A 20,001-nucleotide genomic window follows, 5' to 3' on the forward strand; every position below is an offset into this window, starting at 1 on the left:
GAGTCCACTGCTTTTCTCTGGGATACCAGGAGTCTTAGAGATCAGGAGTTGAAATGTGCAACAGCTTCAGAGCTGATTCTAGGCACAGTTATGCCTGCCTGTGATGCACCCAGCATGATGCTTTGTTTTCTTAATTTGGCATGCTTCCCCATATCTAAAATACAGAATTTGTGCTGGGTGTCAGTCTCTCCTGGTGAAAAAAGCCATGATTTTTGTAGTAATCTGGGCATGGCTATGCGGGTGCCACACTGTGTGTGTGTTTATGGACATGAAGCAGTGACCAGGAGGGAGGTGAAGGGTGCTGAGATGGGTGGTTCCGAAGCCCATCTGTGGGATTCTTCATCCTCAATTGTTTAGCCCTGACGGGTGTGTTTGAAATGCATTTCGTGTAGGACATGACTTGAGGGCTTACTAGGAACTTTCCTGGAGCTAGTTCTTTGTCAAGTTTTCAATGATCATTATCTCGAGCAAAGAAAAAGAGCTGCCATTTTTCATCTTATGGTGGAGCAGGACAGATGGTTTGAACACCATGCAGGTGGCCAGCCTTCCTCTATCCTTTAGGTTTTGTGGTACCAGATGTGACAGTAAGGCAGCACATCAGCACGAGTGCTTGAACCTCCACTGAGGGCGCAGCGTCCGGGATGGCCTCCTCCTATTCTGGTTCACGTGCTGCTAGGGTTTGTACCTCAAGGCAGAGAAAGGCTCCCTTTGTCCTGTCTGCCAAGGACGACCCCACAGCAGTTTGATATCCAGGCAGATGGTTAGGTTAGAGTCCCACCTGTATGCCTGGCACACATGGATATTTCTTGATTTTATTGACTTAATTCGTGCTAATAGTCCTAATAGCACAGTGAGGAGGAACACTGTGGGGCTGTGGAGTTGAGTCGTTCTTTCTATCTGCCCCCTACGTGTTTCCCACCTCTCAGTGTGTTTTGCTTTTTGCCATTATCTGTTCATTGGGAAGCCCTGACCAGGTCTGACTGGCTTAAATATCTTTTCCCCTTGCCGAAGTTGTTGAGTTTAGGGTCAACAGGAGGCCACATGCAATCACTCAGAGACTGAAGTTCATGCAGCTTACACAGAATAGACCAAGGAGGTGCTCTGAATTTGCAGAGAATCCTGGGATAGAAGCATTTCCAAATTTGAGAGGCAGCTATTGGAGAAAGCCTCACTAAAGAGGAATTAGAAATGGGATGCCTGCACTTGCAAAGGCAGCAGGTAGACAGGGGCTGTTTACTGTGGTAGAAGGAGGATGGGCTATCTGATCTGCAGGAAGGAAATTGAACAGATTCCTGGGGCGTTTTCTGCTCCCAAAGCTGGGAAATCATTGTTGCCATGAGCCGTGTCCTCTGTGGACAGCTTGCTCCTCCTCGTGGTCACTTCCCTCCTAAAGACAAGGCTGCAGTCTGCATTTTATAGAGATAACTTAGGGCCGGGCTTTACATTTCAAGTTGAACATCTTTTGTCTTGCAGAAGGTATGCGAATGTTGAAAAAAACTCACAGAGAAAGAAAAAAGTAAGTAACTTTTTAAAACAAGTAAGTAACTTGTTTCTGATTCTGGCGTCTTCTGGCATTAACAAGGGCACAGCGCAGGGTGACGGCCCGAGCTGTAAACAGAGCATCAGTGCCAGGGCCTGGGCCAGCATCAGTGCCAGGCTTATAAGGAAAAATCAGATGCACTTCTGAGAATGGTGTGAGTAGGAGAGGAAGTTTATGTTTGGAACACAGAGTCCAGAGCTAAGAGACACACATAGGTATTTATAATGCAACCCAGTAGGTGTGAAGACAAAAATATATTTGGACTTTTACGGGACAGGGAGGAGAGTAACTGACTCAAGCTTGGCATGAGTGGCAGTGGGCTCTGGCGGGGGGTGGGAGGAGGACATTCCAGGCAGATGTGACAGTAAGGCAGCAGTGGGAGAAGCAGCTCACTGCATGCACATGTGCGTGTGTGTGAATACATATGTGTGTGTATGTACTGGTGCATGTGTGTGTATAAATACATGTGTGTGGAGGCATGTGTGTGTATGTATGGATGCATGTGTATGTATGGATGCATGTGTGTGTATGGATGCATATGTGTGCATGGGTGCATATGATGTGTGCATGATGTGTATATGATGTGCATATGATGGGTACACGTGTGTACATGGATGCATGTGTATGTGGATGCATGTGTGTGCATATGAATACATGTTTGCATACGTGCACATGCATGTATAGATGCATATGTGTGTATGCATGTGTGTATGGGTGCATGTGTATGTATGAATGCACATATGTATGTATTTAAATACATGTGTGTATGGAGGCATGCATGTGTATGTATGAATGCATGTGTGTGTATGGAGACATGTGTGCATGTGTACACAGGAGTACACGTGTGTATGAATGCACATGCATGTGCGTATGTATGAATGTGTAGGGATGTATGTGTGTGCATATGACTATGTGTGTGTACATATGGATGTATATGTGTGTATGCATGTGTGTATGGATGCATATGTGTGTGCCTATGACTACATATGTGTGTGTACATATGGATGCATATGTGTGTGGATGTGTGTATGGATGCATATATGTTGTATGGATATGTTGCCTGCATATGTTGTATGGATGTGTGTATGGATGCATATGTGTTGGTGTATAAATACATATGTATGTTTGGAGGTGTGTATATGGATACATATGTGTGCATGTGTGCATGAGTACATATGTGTATGTATGGATGCATATGCATATGGATGCATATGTGTGCATGTGTGCATATGAATACATGTGTATGTATGTATTCACATGCATATGTGTGTATGGATGGATACACGTGTATAGAGGCATATGTTTTTGTGGATGCATACATGGGTATTCATATGGAAACATTTGTGTGTGTAGATGCACGTGTGTGTATGGATGCATGTGTGTGTGGATGCCTGTGTACCTATGTGTATGGATGCATATGTGTGTGTGTGTGTGTGTGCTGATCACACAGTTTGAAGTTGCAGCATAAAGCATGAGGAATAATGACAAGGAGGTATCAGGATACAGGACCAGGAAGATTTGCAGAAGCTGGGTCCTAGAGGGGCTTACCAGTCCTTGTAACTGTTTACGTGATCCTCCTATATCCCTGATCATCCTACAAATACTGCCTTTTAGTGGTTCTATTGACATTAATATTTATTTGACAAAGCTATTGAACACGTACTCTTTCCAGTGCCTGTCTGCCTGGCTCACTGGCTCAAGTCCCCTCCCTACTGTGACACACTGGCTTTGAGGGTCGGCATTGTCCTGGTCTTTTCTTTCCCAGTAACTAACAGATAGCCCTGGGCTTTGCTTTTCTGCTGTTGCAGCTCAGATTTCATGATTGCCATTTTAATCACTCCCTGCAAATAGCTTTGACTTTCTCACCTGCGAGCCACTGTGTGCACCTGGCAAGTGTTCAGCCCTGGGTGAGCCCAGCCTGCACTTCCTCTGCACTTGCACTAATGCAGCGTGGTGTTGTTGGAAATAATGACACTGCTGACCCGAGTCTTCATGCCGAGTTCACGGCCACGGTCCTTATCCAACTTCATTCACTGATTAAGCCTGATGTTTTAAAAAATGTTTTTCTGAATATGTTTTGCCAGGTTTTATTGGAGATTTCTGCATGTCTGCTCATGAGTGAGCTTAGCCTGTCTGACTTCTTTCTCATGTTGTCCTTCTCTGGCTTTTGTTGCCAAGGCTTTTCTTCTGAATTGACTCTTATTATTTTTTGTAGCTTCTTGAGTTGAATGATCGCCTTATTTATTTTAGATTTTCTTTCTCTAAGAAACACATTTTCGTATTAGGTGTTTGTTGAATGGATGAATGATGATCACTGAGATTACAAAAATGATATGCCTTACTCCATTGTTCCATATATAAAGGTCTGCATCTGTAAAGATGTATTATCTTAAAACTCAGTATTAATTTTTTTTGGCCTCATTTTGAAGAGTGGGTGTGTTTCTAAGAATGAAAAGAATTCCACACACAGGGCTTCTCTGAGGCTGGAATTTATGATGATTTGCAGCAACTTAGCCATTTATGATAAATGTGTTTGTTTCTTTACTTGCTTGCCCCAGGTTTTCCATTTCTAACTTGTTAAACCTTTTATCTATTTTCTATGTGAATTGCCACAACATCTTTTTGGAAAAGAAGGTACAAAATTAAAAAAAAATACAGGCGTGCTCTTCATTAAGATATTGCCTTGTGGAATGTGGGGGGCTGTTGGGACCCTTGGTGCTGTGCACATTCTAATAACATCAGCCAATCAAAGTATCAGCTTTCTTTAAAATCAGATGCTGGATTTTCTTTTAAATTTGCAAGCTTAAAAAAAAGTACCTAGAATACAAAACAGAAAGTCTTTCTTGACCCTTCAATGAACATATCACAAACATGACCTAGAACTTGTGACCCACAGGATATCAGGCCGGAATGGGGCACTCATTGATTCATCTGGTCGTCCATGAGGCCGTGGTGAGGTGTTGGCAGCATGCTAAGCACACTCCGCTAGCACGAGACACAAAGATGAGTGGAGTGTAAGTTTCCACGACTGGAGAAGGCAGAGTGTCGATAAGCATGGGCGTAACCCTAGCAGACCTCACCCAGCCCTCCTGCTCAGTAAATTAAATCCCAGTAATTAAATCACCCCAGATGCCACCAGCACCAACCTCCCCATCTCCACAGTTCCAACAGATCATTGACGCCTCTCCTATAAGCTGTTTAACTTCCACATCTGCCTATGTCTCCCCATCAACACTGCCCAATGGAGTCAGGAAGAAACACCTGATACCTATGGGGGGAAAGCACTGTGAGAGTGGGCACGTAGGGGTCAGGGGAGCTGGGCTCCCCAGGAAGATGTTTTTATTTGCAGGGATCCAGATTTAAGCAAGGGAGTACAATGGACTATATCTACTTGATACTCATTACTACTGATGGAATAAATTGTATGGACTGAAAAGGGAGCAAAATAGACAGAGAAGGGCTGGTCCTGAAAAACTGTGACATTCCCAGTGAGGTGACAGGTGGAGCAGAACAGTGGGACTTGAGAGATGCTGTGTATCATTGATTCTATGGAGGGCATGTTCCCACATCCCGACATCCCTGGAACAGGTGCATCTGACGTCGACAGCGTCTCAGGACTCCTGTGGGCAGCCATGTTGTAGGTGCTAGTTGCTCATGGATAAACTTGGCTGTAGCTGCTCATTTGACTGTGTCTTCAATTGAATTGTGTGTGGGGTTGATTCTGTACATGTTGAGCTTAACTGCTGTGTAAAATATCCTCAAAATGATTTTTCTGTGAGAATTGAAACAAAAAGTTATTATATACACGGAAAGACCTAAAAGTAGAACATCACGATGCAAATTTGCTATCAATTGAGTATATTCTTCTTCGATTCCATCTATTCTTGCAGAGTGACAGCCAGCTCTTGTGTAGGACCTGAGACAGGGAGGTCGACACACAAAGTTGCAGCTGCCAGCGTCAGTGATCTGCGTGGTATAACAAACCACCCCCAAACCCAGGTGCTTCAGGCAACAAGGGTTTATGATTTCTCTAAGTCCGGTGGGTTGGCTGCACAGGTCTTGGGCTGGTTTCACCTTGGTTGCTTATGAGGCTGTGTTCAGCGGAAGGTTCGCTGGATTGGGATGTCCAAGCTGGCCTCACTAACACATCTGGCCGCTAGTGCTGGTTGTTGAGCATTTTGGTTCACTTCCATGTGGCCTCTCATCTTCCAGCAGGATGTCACAAACTAGCCTAGATTTCAGGAGGTGGAGAAATAGGCTCTCCCTCAACAGAGAAGCACAGAAGAGCCGATTCACTTTGCAAACCTGTGTGCAGCCTGAGAGGGGAGGGCTGTGTGGCCAGCAAGCAACCAACCACACTCGCATGTGTTTTGTTCCTGAGAGTGGTGCAAAAGGATTGCCTTCGACTCTGCAGGGCTGAAGCACCAGCACCAAAATGTGCAGTTCAGGTACCAACGGCTCAGGGGCAATTCAGAGATGAGGGCGGGGCATCCTTCCCACGCTGCATGCAGAAGCACTGATGCCTTTGACTCGGAGTCAAAAAGTGTCTCAGAAGAGTCAGACTCTGGATGTAAAATCTTGGAGGGTATTCAGGTGATTTGTTTCTGTTATTTTCTCATTTTTCTTTATGTACAAGCATGCTATGTCATAAAAATGGGTGTCTAAATGGTTCTAGAAGGGCTTCTTCAGTAAGTAGAAAATAGAACTTCTAGGAAATTAAAGCATGCTGACATATTTTAAATGGCACTTCCTTTCTTTCTTAGTGGTTTATAAAATAGCTACGTGTTTGCAGTATGATTCATGGAATCTTGATTCAAAGACGTGAGATGGAGAATAACAGAGAGTAATGTAGCACCTCGAGATGACTGTGGAGGACGTGGGAGAAGTCAAGACCGACCTCAGGATTCCAGGGATGGCGGGAGGGTGGTGCATTCAGGAGCCAGGATCAGGTCTGCAGGAGGAGGAAGCAGGACTTTGGGTTGCACATTTGTGTGAGAAGTTGCTTTGCTCTAGACGAGCACATTTATTACATGAGAGTGAAGGGAGGCATGAGAGATAATATCCATGCATAAAAGTATTTTCGATGTCAAGTCAAATTCCTTGTGTGTCCAGCAGAGGATACATCTGCTTCCGTGTTTGTCTGGGATTATCATTGTGGATTCTCTGTGGAATAGAAGGATGGGGCTCCTTTGCATCTAACAGATGTCTGTGAAGTAGGTGACATCTCATTTATGTGTGATGACGATTTTCCTTGGTAAACTAACTGCTGCCGTCAAGGCAAAGCTGTAGTGTTTTAAGAGCAGGCATCTGGCCTCTGACCTCTGCACTTGGAATCCCAGCTGTACTTAACATTCGAGTGGCTTGACTGGACCTCCCTTCTGTGGGTCTCAGGGAATGCTGACTCCCTCCTCTCTTCCCTCTTATTTTACTCTTCCTGGATCTCTGTCATCAGACTTCCTTCCAAGGCCATGAAGTTCTAATTTAAGCTGTTGGAGCTGCACTGTCCAGAATGTTTGAAAGATGTGAGAGCACAGCTCTTCGCCTCTTAGTTCTCAGTTTCCATTTTGAATAGAAGAAAATATTTTTTTCTTAATTCAGCAAAAGAACTTGCATTTGCACTGTTAAAAATGCCCATTTCCCTACCATTTGACCCAGCAATCCCATTACTGGGTATATACCCAAAGGATTATAAATCATTCTGCTATAAAGACACATGCACCCATATGTTTATTGCAGCACTATTTACAATAGCAAGACTTGGAACCAACCCAAATGCCCATCAATGATAGACTGGATAAAGAAAATGTGGCACATATACACCATGGGATACTGTGCAGCCATAAAAAAGAATGAGTTTATGTTCTTTGCAGGGAAGTGAATGAAGCTGGAAACCACCATTCTCAGCAAAGTAACACAGGAACAGAAAACCAAACACCACATGTTCTCACTCATACATGGGAGTCGAACAATGAGAACACATGGACACAGGGAGGGGCACATCACACACTGGGGCCTGTTAGGGGGTGAGGGGAAAGGGGAGGGAGAGCGTTAGAACAAATACCTAATGCATGCGGGGCTTAAAACCTAGATGATGGGTTGATAGGTGCAGCAAACCACCATGGCACATGTATACCCATGTAACAAACCTGCACGTTCTGCACATGTATCCCAGAACTTAAAGTAAAATAAAAAAAAAGCCCATTTCCCAAGGAAATGGAAAAAAAAATCATGAATGCAGTTTAGTTATTAGCACATCTGAAATATACTTTGAAAATAGCCTGCATTATTCTATTGGTTCACTTCACTTATTGCTTGATTCAAATATTTGAGCATTGGAAAATATGCCATTATGAGTCTGCCAGTATCCTGTCTGGCACAATTAACTGGAACTTTTAGTCCAATGAAAGTAATTGAATGAAGCTACTCTCATTATATAGCATTCAGTTTTACGGGAACTGCATTTACTGTGATTTTAATAGCTATTGCCTTCCAAAGAAGAAATGCTAATTTAATAAATGTTTAAAATTGCATTCACATATTAAAATGAATGTTTTATGGTTCAGGCTTCTGTGAAAAATCAGTAAATAGTTAATAAGCATTGTATTTATATCACATCTGCAATCAGAACATTAATATTAAATTCTTCTGGGCATAGAGCACAAGTGTTCGTAGTGAACGGTAATGAAAAGGAGATAAAGCATATAAATTAAGGAGGTGCGTGTGTGTGTGCGTGTGTGTGTGCGTGAAAACAGTTGCAGAGGCATGTGCATACCAGACTGAGACCCACACTTTAATAACCTGTTCTGAACAGTAAATTTCACTGTGAAATGAGTGCTTTGGAATTGACATTTGCTGGCTAATCATGTCAAGGCTGGAGCAATATATCACAACAATCAAGGCTGCAATTGTCATCTTTTAGCAGCCTGAGGATGCAACAGCCAGGTTCAATGTTAGCAAATCTTCCACTTTAATAAATGTTCAAAGCAGGCCTGGTTCATTGGTAGAAGACCTTGACCCACTTGGGATGGAAATGGGACATTCGCATGGGAACTTTTTGCTGTCAGCATTTGTCATTCCTTACCTGAGGATGGACTGACTCTGAAATAGGTTGTTACTGTCCTTCAATTAGACAAACTGGCTCATCCCAAGTTACCCTGGGAGGCTGCCTTTTGTGTGCCTGAGCTAGACAATCTCTTATAATAGCATTAAAATATAGCTGGATTAATTGAAATAGGCTCTGGAGAAAAATAATAGTCTTTAAAGCACTGCAGAGAAATAAAACCAACATACGTGAGGTTCATTTTCTGAAAACATTTTCAATAGGGAGAAAGATGAATGAAATTGAGAAGCGGTACCTGTCCCCTTTGTAAATAGAGCTCACATTGATTTTGGAGGGCTTGAGACTTGAGACGGAGAGAAATATGGGTGTAAGACGTGAGGTTCATGCATGCTTCCTTGTGAAAGCCATGGATTCCTGCTTGATCCATGTTTTCTTGCTTGAACCTTTTTTTTTTTTTTTAACCAAGTGCTGCTGTAGATCCATGTTGTTCTGACAAAAGCCACCTGGAGTGCCATGCACTTTGTCCTGCTCCTGTCCTTGGAAACTTGCAGGCTGGAAGGAGAAATGGCTGTGTAAGTGGAAAACCACAAGGCATGTGGCTGTGGAACTATTCATAACGTGGTGTAGTGTGCAGAGGGGGTACTGGGGGAAGGAAGCTGTGTGTATTCATTCATTCTTACACTGCTATAAAGAAATATAGGAGACTAGGGAATTTATAAAGAAAAGAGATTTAATTGGCTCACGGTTCTGCAGGAAGCATGGGAATAGCATCTGCTTAGCTTCTGGGGAGGCCTCAGGGAGCTTCCAATCATGGCAGAAGGTGAAGGGAAGTAGGTGTCTCACATGGCAAACACAGGAGCAAGAGAGAGAGTCGGGGGGAGCAGGGGAGGTACCACACACTTAACCTGATCTCGTGAGAACTCACTCACTGCTGTGAGGACACATCAAGCTATCAGAGGTCCACCCCCATGACCCAAACCCCTCCCACCAGGCCCCACCTCCAAGGATGGAGATCACAATTTAACATCAGATTTGGGCGGGGGACAAACATCCAAACTATATCAGTGTGGGAACAAGACGACCTTTGAGTTGGGTCTTGGAGGATGTGTAGGAGAGTTCTCCAGGTGGCTGAGAGGAGGCAGCTGTTTTGGAGAGAGTAGGGCTTCAGGGGAACTGACAAGCTGGGGAACAGCAAGCGTGTGTGAGGCTGCCTGGGAAGGGGATGGGGAGGCAGGCTGGGCCTGGGTGAAGGGCTGAATGTTGGGGGAGGGTGGCAAGAGTTTGGACTTTATCCTGAGGGGACATGGACCTTGAGTGCTTGGGTTATGTCTGTACACTGCCCACTGATTCTCCTGAGAGAGCCCCTCCACACCCCTCCCCTGGACCACCATTGATGCCCAACCGCTGCCAGTGTGTCCGGAGTCAAGTCTTACCTGTTCCACTCACTCACAGAGGTTCGTTCTGGCATTTGGATGAGCACTGGCCGACTGCCAGCCTGGCTCTGAGATCCCTCCCTGTCTGAAGTGTTGTGGTCCCCAGCACAGCCCCAGGAGGCAGGCACCATCTCCATTCTATCGCACCTCAGAGAGACCTGAGACCACACAGCTGACGTGGTGGGCCCGCGACCCAGCGCTGGTGAGCGCGGCTCGAGATGTCACCCAGCTCAGGAGATCCCACTGCCAGCCAGGCTCCTAGAATGGTCATGGATTTTTCTAAAATGGAAATTTAATTAGCACGGTAACTGAAGGCTCCTTGCCCTTGACCCTGGCTCATACCCAGGCTTTCGTATCCTTGTTCAGCTCTGTGTCACCAATGCAAGAGCACCCGCCAAGGTGGCCCTAGTCCCACCATGCTGCACGGGGTCTCTAGTCTCACAGCCTTTACTCTTACCTGCTTTCTTCTCTCCCTGGAATATATGTCCTACTGTTGACTGTTCCCATTGTCTGACTGTAAGCACCATTTTCTCTGTAAAGCCATTTTTGGGCTCATTCCAGCATCCTTCACAGCCCACCGTTTAGAATGGACTCTGCTCTTTTGGGCTGGACACAAAACCAAGTGAGGCACTTGCGCTTGGTGCTACCCATGTGTTTCTTTCTGCTGCGTTCTCCGGGGTAGAACTGTGCTCTTTAGTCATGTATTTTCCAGCTGGATACCTTGTAGACACTCAGTAGGCGATTATTGAGGGAATGAATGAATTCACCCACCAGAGCTGCTCAGTGACTGTTGAGGATGCTACTGCTCAGATATAGAAAACTGGAATAAAATTTGAATCCTGCTTTATTGCAACCTTTGCAGATGTTTAGTCTATTAGCATGGTAGTTAACATGAGCAGACTAAATTAGAATTGTAATGTAACCAGAGGAGGCATCGACTTCATCATTTCTCATCGCTTACCTCTATTATATGCAACTAGAAAGATGTAGTCTCTGCTCTCCTCTGACCCAAGTTTTGTGAACTGCTTTGAGACTCCACGTTTAAAAGACAGTTTAAACTGAGCAAAATTAAGAAAAGTAAGTGCAATACTAGGATTGGGTATGATTCAATTTGTAAGGTCCTCATTTAGTGTTTGGGGGTTAGATTACGTTTTCCCTTTTCCATGGAATTAACATTTTGTTGCTTTCTTTTAGTCAGTTTTCCAACTCATATTGTAATTTGCGCTGTTTAAGAAGTCAAGATCTTCCACTTAAATGAGGTTCATCAACAAGCTCTATTCTGGAGGTTGACTAGGACAGACTCAGACTTGGACCACAGTTTAGGCAGGGAAGTTTGGGAGGAAAGAGCATATTTGTATGTCCTGCAGATGGCATTAGCTGGAAAGGACAGGGGCACTGCTTTGTGGGGAAGGTGTGCCATGATTGTGAGACTTCCCCAGCCATGTGGAACTGTGAGTCCATTGAACCTCTTTTTCTTCATAAATTACCCAGTCTCAGGTATTTCTTCATAGCAGTATGAAAATGGACTAATACATAGCCAACTCTAGATCTTTCTATAAAGCAATGCAAGACAGGCCTACATTCTTCAAAGATGCCAAGGTCATGAAAGACAGTCTGAGGAGCTGTTCCAGGTGAGAGGGGAGACTCAGGAGGTCTGACATCTAAATGTGATGTGAATCCTGAACAGATCTTTTCTTGAGTGGAAAATGCTATAAAGCACATTTTTGGGACAATTACAAAATTGGAATATGGATGGTAGAATAGATGAAAATACTATATCAGATGAATATCCTAAATTTGGCAATTGTCTCTGATTATGTAAGAGATGATGTTTCTGTTGTGAGGAAACACACTCTGAAGTATTAAATAGATATCACGTCTTCAGTATTAAGTACTAAAGTACTAAGAGGCAAAGGTGCATGATGTAAGAAACCTCCCAAATAGTTCAGATAAAATATGTACTTAATATAGATATTGGCCTGCAGAATCTGTGTCTATCAATGCCCTGCATTTTCTTGTATGAAGAAATGTCAGATTTTCAACTCTTCTTTCCCTACTGTCTTTCCATCCTCCTGCTCAGTTCATTAAATCAGCAGAGATTTACTGAGCAACTATTATGCTTGCTGAATTGAACACACGCACATATTGAGAGCTGACTCTTTGTTTAGCACGGTGGTTAGTTATGTCAGGGTGTCATAGGGACACATCAAAGAGACCGTTGAGGTGAGGCTTGAGCTGGGGTTTGGAGGATGAGCTGTCATAAGAAGAAGGTGAGGAAGGGACTTCCACGTGGAAGGGAGCTGTAGCAGCACAGGTATGGTGCAGGGAAGGATGGCTTGGATTAGGAAGGCAGGTGGGTCTTAGATCATGAATACCACTGTGCTAGGTTAAGGAGTTTGGATGTCTTCCCAAGGCTGTGGCTACCTCCTTAAGGGTTTGAATGGCGGGAAGTGATGAGGCGTGCTGGCATTATTCACCTGTTCAGTTAACAAATATTTACTGAGCATCTGCTATGTGCCAGGCATGGTTCTAGGCTCTGGGAATTCATTAATGGAGAAACAAACCAACATCCTTGCCCTTGGGTGGCTTCTAACCTTCTGCTGATGAAAGAAAAACACAACAAACATCATCAATAAATTGTCTGTGGATTACATATGCTGCTGTGGGTAAAGTGTGAAGGGCAAGGGAAGGGACAGGGCACCCCTCTTGGGAATGACAGGGCAGAGGGACAATTTGAGCCAAGACTTGACAGGAGGGTGCACCTGCGCTGCTCCCGATTTCACAGAAATAAGGTATTTGCAAAAACTCACATTTCCTGCGTGTGCTTGGGTAAGGTATGAGATGAGAAATAAATTGGTGTAATGACATGGTGCCTCCTGTTTGCCCAGCCATCCTGCTGCATCCAAAGTTACTTTCGTTTTGGGTGACTTTCCACGTCAGGGTGGAGGCTCCGCGTTTGTATCTCATTGCAGTGCCCGGGGTGGTGGGGGCTGGGTCACACCGTGGGTGGTTCTCATTTGCTGTGTATTCTGTGTCACAACTACTTCTGTGCCCTCGTTACTAGGGTGGGTTGTGCATGCTTGTCATTGTCCTTTGAGTACTATTCCAGAGATAATAGGACACCACATACACACTCATACATACACATACACACACACGCACACACACACACACACACACACGGTGTCTTTATCTTAGAGGCCAAAGTTATGGAAAATGTGTCTCAACAACCAGAGTTCAGTGATGCTGAAAAGAATCAACCAGACTTTCAGAATCCCAACCCCCAGCCAAAATACAAGCACCATATACCATTTTCTGTTTCCATGACCAGTTCTGCTAAGATCTCATTTCTTCTCCTTAAGAACATGATTTCAGCTCGTAGGAAAACTCCTTAAAATAGGTAGAAACATTTTGTGTGGTCGCATGTATAAGGTTGGAGGGCTATTTTCATACCTTAATTTCCACAAAGATTGAAAACCTGGCAGTTTGCATCATATGCAATATATTAACGGTACAAGGCAGGTGTTTTTAGTTTGACATTTCTTAAGTGACATAGAGAGCTCGAGAGAAATACCTATTTATATACTTCAGCCTGCATTCACTTCCAAATACTTGAGAAAAGATCAAAAAAAGAAAACCTAAAAAAGACATTTTGTATCATAAAGATAGTTTATGGGATAGAAGTGTAATGGTGCTAAGGGAATTACAGGCAGTCCTGACTTAGTTTGACTTAGGATTTTTGACTGTTTGATGGTGCCAAAGCTTCACGCGTTCAGTGGAAAGCCGTAGGATACTCTCGGAATGCTGGGCAGTGACGGCCACAGCTCCCTGTCAGCCACATGCCCTCTGCAGTGGACGGCGATGCCAAAAGACTTTTCCCGCCTCCAGGCCAACGTAAGTGTTGCGAGCGTGTTTAAGGTAGGGCTGCGCCATGATGTTCAGTAGGCTAGGTGTGTTAAATGCATTTTTGACTTTAGATACTTTCACCTTCGGACATGTTCATCAGGATGTGACCACGTCCTAATTTGAGGAGCAGGTATCTGCATGTCATCTTACTTTGTGTTCTAGTTGTGCTTTGTTGTTATTGTTTACAGATTAAAAAACATGTGAGTTCTCCCTTATTGCAACCCCAAAGTAAACCGCCACATGGCTAATTCTCCTCACAGACGCTCTCATCCTGCTCAGAGGTTCCAGCAGGAACGGCTTTGTGATGCTTGTTGAACAGCAGTTTTTATTCAGCTTTAAAGAGTGTCTCCAAAAAACCAGAGGCGCCTCCTTTGACTTGCTTGTTCCTCTAAAGCAAGCCCTTATTTTGTCAGGTTTTAGGAAGGCCACCTACAGTTAAGAAGTGAACTAACCTTCTCTGCCTGCCAAGGCACTGGGAGGGAGGGAGAGAATTATTTTTGCTGCTTTCCTGAGGGGAATGCAAGTAATAGAGCAGAAGAGGTTGCATTCGAAGTGAGGCTTCTTGGAGGTGCCTGAGTTTCCTCCTACTGTTTCTCTGAGGAACTTGTGTCTTCCTGACCACACCCAGAGAACCTGATCGGACTCCTTGTATCCCACTGTTCTTAATGGACTTTCTCTTCTTCATTTGTCCTGTAGGTGGACTCCAAAGGAAAAGAACCTTGTAAATATGATGGCATACCCCCTAAAACACAGGATTCTGTTTATTATGCCAAAGAAGAAAAGAAGAAAACATTGGCAGAACCTTTAGTCCAAAGGGGTGCAGGTGACGTGCAGTTTCATTCTGCTGTAGGCAGTTCGAAACTTTACCAGGCTGAGAACATGGGATTTTTTTTTTTTCAGAGAAATCTTATACTCCAGAAATATTGTTTGACTTGTAACTATCTGCTTTATTAATAAAAGGTTCAGCTTGTAGGTAGTTCAGTAGTTGGCAGAGCAGAAAAAAAACATTTCACTGCTGAAGGCAATGGGATTCTCTAATTAGGGGGCCTCCAAGATAAATACATATTTAAAATCAGCTTACACCAGGACTGAGTATCTTCTTTTCTAAAGACTGATGACGTAGAAAACAACAAATAAATCTATCTTTTGGGAGAAACATGAACATAAAAGCCACCGAGATTGTTTAGGTGTATTTTTTGAGTATAAGAAACATTTAAAAGATGGATCTTCAGAGCTGGTTTTAAAATGAGATAATTTAGAAAGTGCTCTGACATCTATTTTTACCACTCTGCTACTATTACTAACTCTCACTGAGCTCTTACTGGGTGCCCAGCTCTGAGTGAGGCACATTCATGTCCCGTCTCATGTATGGATACTTAGTGAGAGACTGTGAGTGGTGTGGCTGGTTATGGAGGAGAAAGCAAGGTGGTGGGAGAGGCTTTCCTGCACTTCTCTGCAGCAGCTGAACATTTTTGGAAGTCATTTTTCCTAAACACCCTTCCTCCCCTCTTGGCTTCTTCTTTTCTTTTATTTTGAGATGATGCCTCACTCTGTCACCCAGGCTGGAGTGCAGTGGTGTGATCTCAGCTCACTGCAACCTCTGCCTCCCGAGTTCAAGTGATTTTTGTGCCTTAGCCTCCCAAGTAGCTGGGACTACAGGCACCTCTCACCACACCTGGCTAATTTTTGTATTTTTAGTAGAGACAGGGTTTCTCCATGGTGCCCAGGCTGGTCTTGAACTCTTGACCTCAAATGATCCAACTGCCTCGGCCTCCCAAAGTGTTGGGATTACAGGCGTGAGCCACTGCACCTGGCTGAAGCTGCATTTTCTTAAAATTTATTCTATTACTTTGCTGTCCAGTGGGGTTACTTTGCATGTATTTATTTCTAACGGAATTAACTGGACCAAGGCTTGGTGGACACAGGCCTTCCCTGTGCTTCATCTTGTGGACTGACTACCATGGTGGGCACAGCAATTGCATGACTTTCAGGGTCCAGGACCTTCATGAAGACAGAGACAAAAGCAGACGGGGCTAAAATCGAGGCCACCACGCTGAGCACCTTGGCAGATGCAAACAGGAAGGGCGAGAGGGAAACGGGGTGAGGCGGACGGGGTTTGGGACTGCAGACCAGGTGGCCTGCCCGAAGCTCCAGGATGCCCGGCTTCGTAACTTGGGTTTGGGTCAGGAAATATGCAGTGGACTCCAGCTTCTCCATGGGTTTCAAAAGTTTGTCTGTGTGATTTTCTCCCAGAAGGTGACGTGTATAAAGCACCGACTCCTAGCAAGGAAACCCAAGGGGCGCTGGACGTCAAAGAGGAGCACAATGTGCAGCTGGAGGTGCCTGTGGACCAGGTGGGTGTCCGGGGTCCGATGTCCATGCCGTCTTCACTCCATTCCATCAGCTCCTGCCCGCCTCAGCGTCATCCTTCACCCTCTCCCTGCAAATTCTCTCTGGACTCTAGAATGTTCTGTGTTCCTCCTAGTTAGAGACTGCTCATCTCAGATCCTGTGTTAAGCATTTTCCTGTCTTCCCACCTCCCCCACAGCTTCTGCTGGAGAGACGCCTTTTAACACTTCACTGTGTGTGACTGCAAATTTGGCTTCATCATTATTTGATGATTGTGTCTGTCCCCTCACTAAGCTACTGACTCCATAAGGAAAGGGGCTGGCTGCCTCGCTCACTGTTGGGCCCTGTACCTCACAGAATTCCCGGCATGGAGGAGGCCTTAGTAATTTTTTTGTGGAATGATGACTGAATAATGGAGTAAACAGTGGGATCAGATGGCATGATTATGAAACCTTGAGCCTCTGTTTCCTTATCCATAGATGGGGATGCTGCCTCTGTGCAGGTCTGTGTGTGGCCTGAGTGTGTGGCCAGCACTGGTGCATGGTGGATGCTGGGACACTGTTCCCTCCTCCTGGCCTCAGGGAGGAGTGGGGAGCAGGGTTCTGAGAAGGGGCGGGGTCAGGCCAGGGTTCCAGCCCAGCTGCGCACCTGAGTGAGTCTCCAGCACTTGGGCAAATGGCAGATTGTGCTCAGTGATCTCCTAAAATGCATGCTTTGTCTTCACTACCCACCTGAAGGCAAAACAAGTACATTTCCAATTCTTAGTTTTTGAGCAAAGAATGTATATTCTCTAAAAGGTCAATATTAGCATTAGAGTTCCATTTTTATTCCTCTAAAATAGATGAGGTTCCACCCCTGCTCCTGTAACTGTAAACCACCAAATCCTGGTATCCAGCAAACTTTTCCACTCCTTTCTCCGAATGGATCACTCTTAACTTTGGCACTTTGTTTTTTAACTTCTGCTGTATTTCTTATTTTCTGTGACACATTTGAAAAATATTACAGACTGCCTCTCAATATTCTAGCTTTCCACTTCCTTTTTTTGGCATTTTGAGCACCTTTCCTATGAGTCCTGTCATATTTTCTAAATTTCTAGTAATATTATTTTCTCTTTTCCTTGACATGTCAAAAATGACTAAAAGATTTCATTTTCTTCGCAAATCCAAACTAACAGTTAAAATATTTTGTATTGCCCACTTAAGAGTTTTCTAGTGATAAGGAAACTAGGACATTTTAGGCTGTTACTTGTATGCCAAATATACCGTTGTCACTAGGATGTTACTGTGGCTTTCTGGGTTGTAGACTGTGTGTCCAACACAACTTTTCAACACAGGCAGAATCCTCGTGTGACAAGCACTGTTGTCATAACTTTGCGTATAATAAGCATATTCATAAGTTTTGGTTGCCGGTGATTCTGATTTCCATCGACTTTGAGGCAGTGGAGTGAATTCGGTTATCCCGCACTAATGTGAGGTGAGAGGAGGGAAGAGGGCCAGTAGGTCCCTGGGATGCTCCACCCACCAGCCGTGGAGGAGGAGGGGCTTCCAGAAAGCGTTTTCTGTGCAGCAGTTTTCCACACCAGGTAGGGCGAAGTCTCAGTGAATGGAACTTTCTCGCTGTCAAGCGGCAATATTAACACAAGTCCTGTGGCTTTGAGTGACACAGAAACAGACTCTCAGCCATTGTCTGTGGATAGGAAGACCCCCTGAGGGTGAGCTAGGTCATCCGTCCTCCCTCTGCATCCTCCGTGCGTGGCGAGAGCAGAAAGAGCGGCTGTCAGCTGGGATGCTGGGGACAGCTGAGTGCCAGGAGGACCCTTCCTGCACAGCACACCTGGGGAGGACGTTGCCTCACCTTGTCTCCCACTCGCCGGGTCCTGACATGCAGCAGGTGTTTCACAAAAGCTTATGAAATCTTCCAGAAGTGGATACAAGAAAATCCCATGCACTTAATCAACAGAGGCAAGGCATGAAGCTCAGGCCATGTAGACAGAGTGGTGTTGCCCAAACCGCGTTCTGCATCTTTGAAAATGCACACGTGGGAGGCGCCACTCTCATATCTCTCCTTGGGGGAATCACGGTGCACATGAGTGTATTGTTTCAGAGAAGTCCTAGAGTTAAAATTATGTATAAGCTTTTGGTTAATTCTGTTTATTTCCCCACGAACCTTTTCTTGCTAGGACTCTTCATGACACACAGTTGAGACCTTGCCTGTGTGCCGTTGTCCAAGGACCTCCTTCTTTCCTATGGAGCAGGAACATAGGATGTGGTTTGTGCAGACCCTCTGTTCCTGGGACAGTCATGGACCGGGTGGGTGGCTGCATCCGAGTGGGCCAAGCCTGGAGAACTTGCGCGAGCGTGGCTGGCTGCCTGGCCCCACTCTGCGCCTGGCCCGTGCTGCCTGCTGGGCAGGCTCTTGGCTCTGCGTCAGGGTGACTGGCATACCCATGGACACAGGGAAGGTGCGTATATCCGTGTCGTGAGAACTTTCCAGGCCATTAGTGAAGGACGGTTTGGCCCTAATATTATGCCTTCATGGTGCTGACTTCTTTAGTAATCTGGAATACTGTCTCCTGTTTTTGAGTAATGATTTCAACTTTGTGGGTTAGCCTGAGCGTCTCACATGCTGTTTCTCATTGTGTCTGCAGTATTACACTTTCTCCAGTGTAGTGGCACCATAAAGGTAAAATATTACAAAATATAACATCCCGACTAGTAAATGTATGAATTTGGAGTCAAGCCTTCTAGGTTGAAGAAGGGAACCTCATGAATGCAGAGTCCTCCAAATCCCAGGCCATTGCTTCGTGGTCAGTGACACTAACAGCACAGCATCCGAGCATCCATGGAGGATGTCCAATGTGGAAGGACACTTCGATTTTCCTGTGACACCTTCAATATCTGTTACTAAACTCCCATTGTCAGGTTTGGAGAAATGAAGGATGTGGCCCGTCCTTGGCCCCTGTGGAGGGGCCTCATATGATCTTTACGATTTGTGATGATAAATAAGACTTTGACTCCGCAGCCCCCTTTCCTGTCACCTTTCCTTTATTCCAGTGTCTAGGAGCTTCTCCCAGTACTTGTTAGTCAGTTCTGGAACATCTCATAGCTGTGCAGAGGAGGACAAAATGGAGCACGGCCTCACTGAATGTGGGCAGGGAGGGTCGGAGGCTCAGCTGGGAAGTCAGGTCATTGGGGGCGCTGGGTGTTGGTCTTCCTGACAGTGCAAGATGAGTGTTCATTGTGCATTTTGACCTGTACTTGGATTTCTAGAATGTTCTCACTTGTTCAGCCTTTAATTGTTTTCTTATTAATTTACTCACAAAACAACACATACTTTTAATCATACAAGTCACTTTTCTGTCCTCCAGCTTCTGTCACCTGGGTCTCTATCAACGGACACAGGGCTTTCTGCAGAGCCCCTGGCTTATGGGCAGGTGTTGGGAAGTTCACACTGGCGTTTCAAGGCTCCTAGCTGTTTTGAAAGCTCATTCTTGTAGCACAAACTTGACACGGAGACTCTCACAGAGTTCTGTGGGTGCTCATCTGTGGCTCATGAGAGAATCAAGATTGGGGTTCTGCATTAGGGAAGCGGTAACCTGAGTTAATCCAGTGATCTCAGTTACCTGGGTCATCAAAGTGGGAAGCTTCAGAGTCACTGAAACTCATTTGTCCTGAACTAAGTGGTTGTGAATAGGACGGAAGGCTTAGCTTGTG

At 45.0% G+C, this 20,001-nt stretch overlaps 1 protein-coding gene across 11 annotated transcripts in view, besides 1 other annotated feature; it reads left to right on the forward strand.

The window, feature by feature from the left end:
- The window catches only part of DCDC2C (doublecortin domain containing 2C), a 144,434-nt gene that overhangs the window by 49,544 nt on the left and 74,889 nt on the right, over window positions 1-20,001 (forward strand). For 9 of the 11 annotated variants that reach the window (NM_001287444.2, XM_047445725.1, XM_047445724.1 and 6 more), the window contains 3 exons: window positions 1,474-1,516; window positions 14,636-14,762; window positions 16,193-16,293. In NM_001287444.2, coding sequence (NP_001274373.1) covers window positions 1,474-1,516; window positions 14,636-14,762; window positions 16,193-16,293 — 271 coding nt within the window. Of the gene's footprint in view, window positions 1-1,473; window positions 1,517-13,795; window positions 14,590-14,635; window positions 14,763-16,192; window positions 16,294-18,467; window positions 18,750-20,001 lie in introns of those variants that run through there. The other 2 variants (XR_007081579.1, XM_047445728.1) reach the window with 2 other exon arrangements.
- Window positions 17,664-17,833: an enhancer, noted in NCBI's record as "experimental_58308 CRE fragment used in MPRA reporter constructs". NCBI's record gives its function as "activates a minimal promoter by MPRAs in K562 erythroleukemia cells, with activity observed for both the introgressed and non-introgressed 2:3818457 variant alleles {active_cell/tissue: K562}" and the evidence as "EXISTENCE:reporter gene assay evidence [ECO:0000049][PMID:34662402]".

The sequence above is a fragment of the Homo sapiens genome, chromosome 2 (genome assembly GCF_000001405.40).
Source record: "Homo sapiens chromosome 2, GRCh38.p14 Primary Assembly".
In the NCBI taxonomy this organism is placed as follows: Eukaryota; Metazoa; Chordata; class Mammalia; order Primates; family Hominidae; genus Homo; species Homo sapiens.